Source organism: Homo sapiens, chromosome 4 (genome assembly GCF_000001405.40).
Source record: "Homo sapiens chromosome 4, GRCh38.p14 Primary Assembly".
NCBI classification, from domain to species: Eukaryota; Metazoa; Chordata; class Mammalia; order Primates; family Hominidae; genus Homo; species Homo sapiens.
Window position 1 is genome coordinate 60,421,583 of NC_000004.12, and position 13,512 is coordinate 60,435,094.

Sequence of the window (13,512 nt, forward strand, 5' to 3'; positions counted from 1 at the left end):
CATAGCTAGAATTTTGGCTTTGTTTAAAGTTTGTTGTGTCTAGAGTTACCAGAATATTCAAATTTCTCTAGTACTTTTTCTTTTCTTTTCTCTTGTTTTCCTATGTTTTCTCCTCATAAATAGGGTGTTTTCCTATGTTCTGCTCCTCATAAAGAATCCGTGTGCCCTTTCCCCGACAATACTAGAGTTATCCTAGAAGTTTCTTGGTTATATACTTTCAGATTCCACAGAGCAAAATTCTATGTATATTTCAAACCATAGTTAAAGTGCCACTCTTGTCTTGATTACTCTGGTACATAGAGTGTATTGCTTTTGGCCAAGTACCAGTACACAATAACCAACTCAAGCCACACATTTAGCCTATATAGCCCACACATTAGATTTCATCCTTATTGTTGTTTACATTGAAAATAGGACATTTGTAATAATTGCATTAGTTTCTCAAGGCTTCTGGCTAACTTAGCCTTCTATATAGTGACTTCTAAAAGGGCCAGAACTGTACTGCTGGCAGATTTAGTTGCAAGCAAAAGAAAATTAAAACAGGAAGTTATTTTATTCAAAGCATACTGAATATCTCCAAGAACTGTTACAAAATCTTAAGAATCAGTGGTCCTTAAAAGCAAGAGGAGGGAAGAAAGAAGAATAGGAAGGGGAGGACAAAAGAGGGGAGGGGAGAGGAGGAAAGGGAGAACATCCGGAAGTACAGCAAACTTACACCACAGAAGCAGTCCAGTTAGACACCTCTGCTATTCATTTGAAACACAGAACACTGAAGGATACCACATCCACCCCTAAACCAGAAAACAGGGAATTGCTGACAACACTGAGTATGAAGTTCCTGGAGCCTTTCTTTCCCTGGCTCCGATTCAAATCCAGGATTTTGCAGCTAACTTATCCCTCAAGTTGCTGTTTATGTGAGCATGGAATAATCTGGAAGTGCAAGTAGTTGATTTTTCCAGGTTCCTTGGTGGTAGTTACACCTGTTTCATACCACGCCTCATCTTAAATAGAATGACTCAGAATTCCCTGTGCATAAGAAAGGATTGGGATTCATGAGCTGGGCTGTGCACAGCATGACAAATAGCCTCTGAGATGACTTACCCATAGATTTATCCTCAGCAAAGAAGACCCTGCTTAATGTGTAGTAAGTGTTTGCTGAAAAAAAGGAAGGAAGGAAGTGTTACCATAGGTAGCTAGTCAGACATGAGCAGGGCAGGAGAAGGCTCCCCCTACATGCACCCCGCCCCCCGCCTCCATACACATGCACCAGGAACGTCAGGACACCATCAGGTGATGTTCAAGCAGTTAACTGTCTCTCTAAAATAGTAATTGGCTGCAGCCAGTTGCAGGGAAAGGCAGTTTCCCAATAAACAGAAACACCTGAAGCTGGTGATCAGTGACTTCCTGATAAGATCTCAGGATTTGGGCAAGTGGGCTCACAAATGTGCTTTAAGAGGCAAAATGGCAGAGTTTAACCAGTATATGACCTTCTTGGGACATACTACTGGTAAGGGAAGAATGCCTCAAGTGAGCATTCATACAACTCCAGTAAATACACAGCACATGCTCACCTCCCAAGGGCTAGCAGGTAACTGTGCATGTGGACAGGCCACCCCAAGAGAAAAATCAGGGGTGAAGGGACACAAGACCCCGGAAGTAAGTCAACATATAAAATCCCAAGTCGAAAGGTCAAATCATGCACTTGTCTCTCAAGTTGCCCACTTGGGCCTGTTCCATGTGTACTTTCCTGCCTTTTGTTTCTTCTTTAAAAACTTGTAATAAACTTTCACTCCTGCTTTAAAACTTGCCTCAGTCTCTCCTTGTGCCTTATTGCCCTTAGTCAAATTATTTCTTCTGAGGAGACAAGAATTGAGTTTGCTGCAGATACATATGGATTCACTGCAAGGAAGGAAGGGAGGAAAAAAGGAAGGGAAGAAGGAAGGAAGGAAGGAAGGAAGGAAGGAAGGAAGGGAGGGAGGGAGGGAGGGAGGAAGGAAGGAAGGAAGGGAGGGAGGGAGGGAGGGAGGGAGGGAGGGAGGGAGGAAAGAAGGAAGGAAGGAAGGAAGGGAGGGAGGGAGGGAGGAAGGAAGGGAGGGAGGGAGGGAGGAAGGGAGGGAGGGAGGGAGGGAGGGAGGGAGGAAGGGAGGGAGGGAGGGAGGGAGGGAGGAAGGGAGGGAGGGAGGGAGGAAGGAAGGGAGGGAGGAAGGGAGGGAGGGAGGGAGGGAGGGAGGAAGGGAGGGAGGGAGGAAGGAAGGAAGGGAGGAAGGGAGGGAGGGAGGGAGGAAGGGAGGGAGGGAGGGAGGGAGGAAGGAAGGAAGGGAGGGAGGGAGGGAGGAAAGAAGGAAGGATGGTTACCTTTTAAGTGCATTTAGTGAAAATTGTCTTAAATTCAACTTTGTCAAAAACTAGTATTGTAGTTTCTAGTAAATAGGTAAATATATTTTCTTTACACTATCAACATATAATTTAACTGAGAAATATAAAGCATGTAAACATTTTTGTTATGTTTCTAACTCAAGAGCAAATACCATAGGCATTACAACATTCAATTCCAATATTTTTTATTGATTTTAATTTCTTAAAGAAGTACCTCAGATGTTGTCCACATTTCCCTTCATTGATCATTCATTTGAGTAGCTTAGTCACCATCTCAGGTTAAATGTCACCTCTCCACTTTCCCCAGATCACAACAGAAAGTCATGATCTAACATGATCATTTCCTTCTAAGTTTGCATGTTGTCTTAATCTGATCCAAATTTTTCCAAGGTTGCATTAATAAATATGGGCTAAGTTTTACTCAGTGTAGAAAGAAATTGCCTGGCAAGTGGGGACTAAGCCCATGAGTATTGATGCTTTATTTATATTGTTTCAAGACCCAAATCTTCTATTACTAAATACATGGAGATATTCAGTCCAAAGGATTAATTATTTTCCACCACATGTTCTCTTGCAGGAAAGGCAGCAATGTTTCTTTGTATAAGAAAATCCCATTTTTACTTTGCAGTAAAATTAAGTGTACTGTGTAACATCATTAGTTAACATGAATTGTGAAAAGGTTTATGCTTTTAATTTATATTATCAGGTAGTAATAACTACATTGTACTTGCACAGGCATCCACTAAAATGATATTATATTTAATAAAATAATCTAATGGGATTTTACTATAAAGGCATATTAGAGAGAGAAAAATCACCCAAAAGAAAGGCTATGCTGGGAATTATTTTATTCTGAATTTACTTCTCTGTTCCTATATAGGTATTTTATTTTAACTGAAATTGCTAACCTGCTAATCAAAACACATAAAATGGCCTCAGAAATTGTCTTTAATCTACTTTATCAATTAGTTTTCCACTTCATATCTCTTTGGTAGAAAGTATTACAGGTGATTATTTCAGTTCAAAGGCAAACAAAAGTCATATAATATTTGCTTCTTCATAAAGTTATGGTCTAAAGTATTTGGCTGACTCCCGATTTTTCTGAAATAACCAGTGTGTGAAGCTTATATTTCATGATCCACCACAAATACATTTGCACTCTGTATGATTGTCAGCCTCAAACCACATATTTTCCTTGTGACAAAATACATTTCATTCTATATTGGGAAAAATGCATTATAGGCAAGCAAATTCCCTCTACATTGAAATTAATGTTATTTAAAGCACATAAGTAATACATTTAGAAAATTGCAAGTACTTATTAAACAATGAGAGTATAAATTAGTTTATATACATAAAGTACTAAAAAGTGAAACGCAATATCCTTTTTTATGCTTGATTATTGCAGAGTAATAATACATAAATAGACAAAAATTATTTCTCAATTCATAACCAGAAACAACACATCCTCTGAATATGCTTTTATTTAACTTATTTTAAGATTTTATACAAATAAATATTTAGCAAATATTTATTGAGGGCATAATTTATGCCAGACTCTAGTTAAGAAATGGAAAAAAAGTTTGGTAACGTAGAGTTTCTTTCATTGATGAATTCATATTTCTTTTGAGGTGTAACTCATGCTTGCAAAAGAAGTGTCAACTGGAAAATATTTTCAAAATGAAGAGTTTCCTTGTAAGAGAATATCTGTAATACAAGAAAAGGAATGTCATCACATGAAGACATTAGGGAAAACAACTTGTAGCATTATAGTATCGTAAACATGTTTTCACTCTATGCACATATTTTCTAATATATCTCACTCATTCAGTCACAGATACTCGTTGAGCACTTATATCACCATTCTCTGGTATGTTATGGAAGAGAGCTATATTGAAAACATACACAGAGTACAGCTTCCTGGAACTTACATCGTAGTGGAGAATCTAGACATGAATACATAATCATAAATGCAATTTCTCCTGCAAAAGAAGTGATAAAAGAGCTGTTGTCTAACAAAATAGCTTGCCAATTTGACTTTTTATATAGTAAAATGTTGGAAGGGGCTATATAATAAAATGATGATAGGTTGGGGATAGGTTGGACCAATATTTCTAATTTCTGTTAGTTATTTTATTTGATGTATATAGCAATATTCTCTGAAAGCATTTATCAATATTTTTAAGCTTTTAGAGCCTGAAAGCAGGAATTTGCTTCCTGTGGCTTTAGAGAACTAGGTGCAGAAATCTGTCCTGTGGCTAGACCCTTCGTGTTCAGGAAGAATTATTTTAGTGAGCCTTCATAATCATTCAGACCTGAATGTTTTGCTTACTCACTTTTCTTATTTAACTTTAGACTTGGTGAGGTTAAATAAATGTAAAGACTTAGCTGTTTATTCTTTCATTTGATAATTTAAAATGCTCGGCATAGGAAAAGAAGTAATCTCAGCTACTCAAGAAGCTGAAGATTGAGGATTCTTTGAGGCCAGGAGTTCAAGGCCATAGTATGCCATGATATTGGCTATGAACACCCATTGCACTCCAGTCTAGGCAATGTAGCAAGACCTCTGAAGAAATAAATAAATAGGAACATAAGTAGATTCTATATCTCAAGAGTCTGTTTTACTTGGTTTGGTTAGAAATGAAGAGACTGGCTAAACAAGGTGTTTGGGCTAAAACAACTTGGAGTTTCCTGGACAAGAAGGAAAAGAAAAAATAAAAGAAAAATCCCTGTGCTAAGATAGGATACTATGCAATCTAGTAATTGGGTTTATTTCCAGAATATCATGGCATTAATTGATAATTTTATGAATGTCACAATAGTACAGTCTGTCTATTCTATTTTACTACATGGTTCAAACTGTTTGAACTTGACTGTTGACATTATTGGATAGTTCATGGTACAGAATGATGTGTTGCTATATGAGGGCATCTAACATGGCCTGGAGGTTTAGAGAAGTCCTGCAAGAGGGAGTGGTGTTGAATACAAGACCATAAAAGGTAAACAGGTGTTTCTCAGGCAAAGATTGTTTAGCGTGGAGGTTGAAGAATGGGAAGTTGGAGCAAAGGGAAGGAACATCCAGAAGTACATGGATTTGGAGTCTTGATGTAAGTAAGACCATAGATATAATCAGGGGTCAGATAATTTACTACTTCACATTCGATGTTAAGGATACTGGATTGTTCTTAAAGAAATGGGAAATCATTACGGGTATTGAGCAATTCAAATGGAAAAAAAAAACAAGTATTGAAAAATGAAATAAAGAAAAATTAGACTTGTTTTTGTTGTGATGCAAGTTTGACCTTTAGACTCCTGATTCTCATCATTTGTCTTGACTCCTAATTTCCATGGCTTGTCTTGACTCTTAATTCTCATGACTTGTCAAGCTAAATAAACAGAAGAGATAATTACTATAAGCTCCTTTCTGTTATATTTAGGAAAGCACCTAAGAGAGATAATACTCATATTTCTTGGTCCCCTGTTTTTCATTCAGTCTGTTGTAGATAAGAGGAAGGTAATTACTTGTTCCTGTTCTTAGTTTTCTGTACACAAATGGGAACAGCATGATATTACTGGAGACTAGATATTGTTTAACAAATACATCGTTCTTTTTATTTCAAAGGAAAGACTCCATTCTACAACCATAGTCTATGCATTCAGCCAATCCTCTCACAAATGCAACCTGTGGGTACGACGAGTTACAGAGTAGAGTACAGATTAATTATCACAGTTTTACAAAATGTTAAATAATTAAAATTTAAAATTCTTCTTCCTAATGTGAAATGTTTACATAAAAACAAATATTCAAAAGCCTACATTGCTTAAAAAATCTGCATTTGTTATACTTAGAATACTTTTTAAATTTTTTAAACATTTTTTGATATCTTAGAGGAAAAAGAATGTGTGATACCCAATTATTCCAAAATACCAGCACATCATGAACACATTAGTATAGATAAATATATTCATATTTGAATTACAGCTTTCCTTTGGTAGGTGGTCAAAACCAATGTTTACTTTTAGATTAATATAAGAATTTCTTGATATGACCATTTCCAACTTACTCATCTTAAGAGTCAACTTAAGAGTTGACTCAAATTAATTATATTACAGGCATTAATTTGAATTCCTCATTGTTTCCTCTATTTGCACTTTAACAAAAAATTAAGTGCTTTTTATACCTTTTTTTAGCAAATTAATTTATTATGTGCTTTTTCAGAATGAAAGTTTACTTCCAGAGTCCTACAAAATTCAAGATGAAAAATCCTAACATTTATTCACTTGCAAGCAATGACAAAATCAAAATAGAAATAAAACCAAAATCATAAACAAACTTTATATTTTTAATGTAAGCTATCTTATAATACATTGTTCAATTTCTAAACGATGTTAATAGTGTCATGTCTATATTAATATGTGGGCTTAATATAGACCTAATCAAAACTTAAACATTCCCCTTGTTTATTAACAAGATGAATTATCCTGAGACTTTTTTGGAAAAAAAAATACATCCTCAATATCTGTGTTTTCTAAATCCCCACTAATGGTGTATCTCATTTGATTTGTCTTTGAGGTATAACCTATAGAAATATTCTAATGTGACTGTATCAGCTTTCTAAGATGTCCTACGTTTTAGTATTTTTTATATTCTTAAGAAGAAGATTTACTGAAAAATGGAACCAATAGAGTGGGCATTCAGGCTGTTCACCAAACACTTATTGCTCTTACTGATATGGATAGGATTGCATTTCTGGCTTTCTTAGGAGCGATTAGGATATGGAGTAGCCAGAAGAGAAAAATTGTACAGCTTCGAAAGAAGAGCATTTAATTACAGAATAAACCCCTCTAAAATTTATTTCCTGTTGCCCTGATGACTGGTGGATATTCACTTTTGTATTGATGGCAATTGGTATTTATTTATCTTTTTGTAAATGTAAACTACAAGTCAAAAATTATTTAATTTAAAAAAGTTTTAGTGCCATCCATCAATACAAAAATTAATGTCTGGAATGACAATAAAATTTATTTTGCCTTTTTGTACACTTTATTTTGCACCAGACAGTATTTCTCTTCCATGAAAACTCCTTACACATGCAAGTCTAGAGATAAAATATGAATTTCAACAGGGAGAGAAATAATGAATCCCCACGGGCAAGTTATGTTTGAGATCTTCAGGGAATAAACATTTTCACACCATGACCTTAAACATGTCTCAGAGACAAAAAGTGACTTTCACCATTGCAAAGCAGTTCTGTTACCAAGTCATATCTGTCAGGCAAGAAAACCGGACCTCCATAAAATGACATCAAAAGTAACCAATGAATGCAACGGAAGTAATATTATGTCTAAGTAACATTATAGATTGTACTTGTTGCCATAAATATACTTACCTTTAGAAGGCAATTTATCCAAGGTAATAATTTAAATAATATGTTCATTTGAGCTGAAATTTAATGACTTTAAGGCAATATACCAAAATATATTTAACTAATTTAATATACCTTATCAAACATTTAATAAACTCTATTAAGATATTAAGGTAAAAATTACACAATATGTAAAGAAGTTTGTGTGCATCTAGTATATATTATTCTCACTCCACTATTAAATACTGTTGGTTTCCAATTCAATTTTAATTCTTCATATACCAGTTCCAAATTTTACTTTAGCTTAATTTTTTTTTTTTTTTTTTTTTTGAGACAGAGTCTTTGATGCCCAGGTTGGAGTGCAGTAGCACAATCACGGCTCACTGCAGCCTCTGCCTCTACCTCTCAGGCTCAGTCGATCTTCCCACCACAGCCTCCCGAGTAGCTGGGACTATAGGCATGTGCCACCACACCTAGCTAATTTTCTTATTTTTTGTAGACACACGGTTTTACCATGCTTTCCAGGCTAGTCTCAATCTCCTGGTCTCAAGTGATCACCCAACCTCGGCCTCCCAAAGCACTAGGATTAGAGACATGAGCCACAACACCTGACCAGATTTTTTTTTTTTTGTCCAATCACATTTTTTTTTGTTTGATGGTATGTGAAGATTTCAATGTATTCCAAATATTAAGTATTTAAAGAGTGCATCATGTCTCCTTCCAATACAAGCTGTTTTTTCTTCCTTTTGATTATGTTCAACCCTCAAACCATTGACAGAGGTAAAGAGGAGAGACACAAAAGTTCAGAGTATGACCTAGATTCCACAGATATCCGAAAGTACATCAACTGGATATTCTAGTCATCCTCTTTTCCTTTTCTCATCATTACTGAATGTCTTTAGGCCATCTAAACTAATCCCATTGTATCTTTTATCTCTGTCTAGGTATTGATACCATGAAAGCTCAAGCTACCTTCATCTCTCCCATCCAAATCTTCATAAGTCTTTGCACATTCTCTATCTTATCTCCATCTTCCACTCCTCCCTAACCCATGAAAAGCAACCATAGTACCCCTAATTTCCCAATTTATAATTAGCATCATTGTCTATATTCTCAAACACTTCTTCAGATTATCATGACCTTCTTACTCTATTAGAAACCTTGGCCTGTCCTGAGCACACAGCTTCTCAGGACAGGACACAGCAAATAGAAATATATCTGATGCCTGGAAGAAAAGAGGCTCAGAGGAAAGCTTTTGTACCCGCTTTACCATGGTGATTATTGGAAAGGGACTTTGATTCATTTGCTGTTTTGCTTGTTAAATGTGGCATTGAACATCCAAAACTGTGTACAAATAAAATCATACATGGGTAAGGGCAGTGTGCAAGCCCTTAGAGGGCTGCAGCTTTCTAAGGCAGTGACAATTCTTTCTCTCATTTCCTTTATATCACTGCATTGTCCTTCCTTATCATTACTGACTCTTGCAAACACTTTCCCATCCCTCTTCTTTTAAAATACAATACTTGAATTTAATTCTATCCTTACTCTTCATTTCCTTCAAATAATTTTACCTTCCATTCTCCCTAGGTCATTTCTTTCCATCATGATAATCCTAGACCTTGTCATTACCAATTACTGCTGTCTCTTGATCATATTGATGACCTCTCTTCCCTTATTTTCCAGGTTAAATTGTATAGTAAATCCTTATATTCACTTTCTCTCATATATCCTCAACTCCTCAGTCCCTCTCTCATTTTGCCTTATCTGCATGGAAAATTCATAAATCTGTTTATGCTTAAATACAATGATCTGCCTACCTTGAATCTGCATCTAGACAAATAAATCTGATAGAAGAAAAGCATCACACTAATTGGCTTCCCTTTAACAATCATGACAATGAAACTCAAGGGGTCTTGATGTTGTCTAGAAATTATACTACATATCTTGAGTCTATTCACTCTCCCACAGTCCTTAAGCAGTATTTCATACTTTCTCCAATCCCTTCAAAAACCTGTGTTTTTCTTTCTCATTCTTATATAAGAGCCTTTCCTCTTACTTTACATAAAAAATTTAAATTCTAAACATTTTAACAGACTCCCATCACCACACTTAGACACATATCAGCATCTGTGCCCAAATACTCAAACTTTCTGTCTGTTAACATAAGATAATTATCAATGCTCTTGTCTCAAGCCAATACCTCCAGAACGTCACTAGATACCATCCCCTTTCATCCACTCCATCAATTTATATCTATATATTTGTTCATTATTGTTAGCATATGGACATATTAGCATATTGCCTCATTCTAAAAAAATTTAATTAAACATAAAAAATCTAATACAAACAACAAAAATGCTTCTCCTGATACAATTTTCTCTTCCTTCACCAAATTATCTGCTCTGTTTTTTGCAAAAAAATACCCTCCAATTCCAATCTTTACATTTTCTCATAAGCACACTCCAAGCAGGTTTCTTCTCCCTAGTATCCATTCAAATTGATCTAATCAAGATTTTCAATGACCTCCAAATTGCTAAATCCAATAGTCTCTTCTCCATTTTCATTTGACTTGACCTATAAAATAGCATTTTTTTCGAAAACACCATATGCTCTTAGTTTCTTTCTATTCTTGGTTCATTTATCTTCTTTGTCCAAACTTACTCTCTTGATAATCTTATACTTTTATAAGCCAATGATTTTAGCTTTCAATATTCCATAAAATCTGCTCTTTTTTCAACTCTCTTTCTTTACTTTAATTGACAAGCAAAAATTATATATATTTATGGTATACAACATGATGTTTTGATATAGGTATACATAGTGGAATGGCTACATCAAGCTATTTATCATATTCATTACCTGGCATACTTATTGTTTTGTGGCGAAAACACTTCAAATCTACTCTTTTAACATTTTTAAATACAAATAAAATCATTATTTACTGTAATCACCCTGAGGTACAATAGATATTTTGAAATTATTTCTCCTGTGTAACTAAAATTTTGTGTATTTTGTCTAACACCCCCCCAATTCTCCTAATCAAGAGCTGCTGATAACCACAATTTTAATCTGTTTCTATCAGTTCGATGGTTTTATACTCAACATATAAGTGAGGTCATGCAGTACTTGTTTTTCTTTGCCTGGCTTTTTTCACTTAACATAATGTCTTCTAAGTTTTTCTATGTTGTAGCAAACAACAGCATCTCATTCTTTTTTATGGCTAAATAGTGCTCCACAGTGTATATACCACAGTGTATATATACCACATTTTCTCTATCCATTCATCTGTTGATGGACACAAGTTGGTTCCATATCTTAGCTATCATGAACAAAGCTATCATGAACACGGGAGTGCAGATATCTCTTGATCATACTGATTTTGTTTCCTTAGGATATATACCCAGACGTGAGATTCCTGGTTCATATGGAAGTTCTACTTTTAATATTTTGAGTAACCTCCATAGTGTTTTCCATAACGGCTGCACCAATTTAAACTCCTTCCAACAGTATACAGAGTTTCTTTTTCTCCACATTGTGTCCTACACTTGTTATCTTTTGTCATTTTGATAATAGTCATTCCAACAGGTTTGAGGTTTTATTTTATTTTTCAAATTTTATTTTAGATTCGGGGGCACATGTGCAGGTTTGTTACAAGACTATATTGTGTGATGCTGATGTTTGGGATATAATTGAACCCATCATCCAGGTAGTGAGCATAGTACCCAATAGTTAGTTTTTCAATCTTTGTCCCCTTCCTCACTACTCCCTCTTGTGGTTCTGTGTCTATTGTTCCCATCATTAAGTCCATCTGTACCCAATGTTTAGTTCTCACCTATAAATGAGAATGTGGTTTTTGGCATTCTGTTTCTTTGTTAGTTTGCCTAGGATAATGTCCTGTAGCTGCATATCTATGTTGCTGCAAAGGACATGATTTTATTCCTTTTATGGCTTCTTATAATTTATGTTGTATTTGTACCACATTTTCTTTATCTAATTCACCATTGATGGGCACCTAGGTTGATCCCATGTCTCTGCTATTGTGAATAGTCCTGCAATGACATATGAGTGCATGTGTCTTTTGGATAGAATGAAATATTTTCCTTTGGGAATATACCCAGAAATGGGATTGCAGGGTGGAATGGTAGTTCTATTTTTAGTTCTTTGAGAAATCTCCAAACTGCTTTCCACAGTGGCTGAACTAATGTACATTCCCACCAACAGTGTTTATGCATTCCCTTTTCACTGAAGCTCTGATATCAGCTGTTTTTTTTTTTCTTTAACTTTTTAGTAATAGTCATTCTGACTGGTGTGAGATTGTATCTCATGGTTTTGATTTGCATTCCTCTGATTAGTGATGATGGGCATTTTTTCATATGGTTGTTGGCTGTTTATATATCTTCTTTTGAGAAGTGTCTGTGTCCTTTGTCCACTTTTCAATGGGGTAATTTGTTTTTCTTTCTTGATTTGTTTAAGTTCCTTATAGATTCTGAATATTAGACCTTTGTCAAATGCACAGTTTGTGAATATTTTCTCCCATTCTGTAGGTTGTCTGTTCACTCTATTGATGTTTTCTTTTGCTGCACAGAAGCTCTTTAGTTTAATTAGGTCCCACTTGTCAATTTTTATTTTCATTGCAATTTCTTTTGAGGACGCAGTAACAAATCTTTTGCCAAGGCCAGTGTTGAGAAGAATATTTCCTAGGTTTCATTCTATGATTTTTTATAGTTTGAGGTCTTATATTTAAGCCATTAATCCATCTTGAGTTAATGTTTGTATATGGTGATAGGCAACCCCTTGTGTTTTTATTTTACATTTTCCTGATGACTAATGATGTTGGGCATTTTTTTTTTCATATACCCATTGGTCATTTGTATTTTTTTTGTTGAAAAATGTCTATTTAGGTTTTCTGCCCATTATTTAATTGGATTTTTCTCTTACTATTGAGTGGTTTAGTTCCTTGTATATTTTGGATATTAAGCCATTATCAGATGTATTGTTTGAAAATATATTCTCCCATCTGGTAGGTTGTCTCTTCACCCTGTTGATTATTTCCTTGGCTGTGCAGAAGCTTTTCAATTTGATGTAATTCCATTTGTCTATTTGTGTGTGTGTGTGTGTGTGTGTATGTATGTGTTTTTTTCTTGTGCTTTGGTATCACACAAAAAATCTTTCTTTAGACCAATGTCATGGAGCTTTTTCCTGTGATTTCTTCGAGTAGTTTTAATTTCAGATCTTAGGTTTAAGTCTTTAATTCATGTTGGTTAATTTTTGTAGATGGTGTAAGATGTTGGTTTTATTTTATTCTTCTGCATGAGAATATCCAGTTGTCCAATACCATTTATTAAAGAGAATACCCTTTTCACTGTGTACATTCTTGCCATCTTGGTTGAAAAATAAATTGACCATAAATATGTGGATTTATTTCTAGGCTCTCTGTTTTGTTCCATTAACCTGTGTGTCTTTTTTATGCCAGTATCATGTTGTTTTTATTATTATAACTTTGTATAGATTTTCAAATTAGGTTATGGGATACATCTAGCTTTTTTGTTTGTTTGTTTGTTTTTCTCAGCATTACTTTGTCTAATCAAGGTCCTTTATGGCTACATAAGAATTTTAGGATAGTTTTTCTATTTCTGTTAAAAATATCATTGAAAGTAAACAATCATATCATCAGCAAAAAGTTTCAGTTTGAGTTCCTCTTTACCAATTTGGATGCCCTTGATTTCTTTCTCTTGTCTGATTGCTCTGGCTAGGACTTCCTGTACTATGT

At 35.0% G+C, this 13,512-nt stretch overlaps 1 annotated feature.

Annotated features, from left to right (window-relative positions):
- Positions 921-1,421: an enhancer, noted in NCBI's record as "H3K4me1 hESC enhancer chr4:61288221-61288721 (GRCh37/hg19 assembly coordinates)". NCBI's record gives its function as "activates a minimal SCP1, AML or CMV promoter by ChIP-STARR-seq in naive H9 embryonic stem cells {active_cell/tissue: H9 hESC(naive)}" and the evidence as "EXISTENCE:reporter gene assay evidence [ECO:0000049][PMID:30033119]".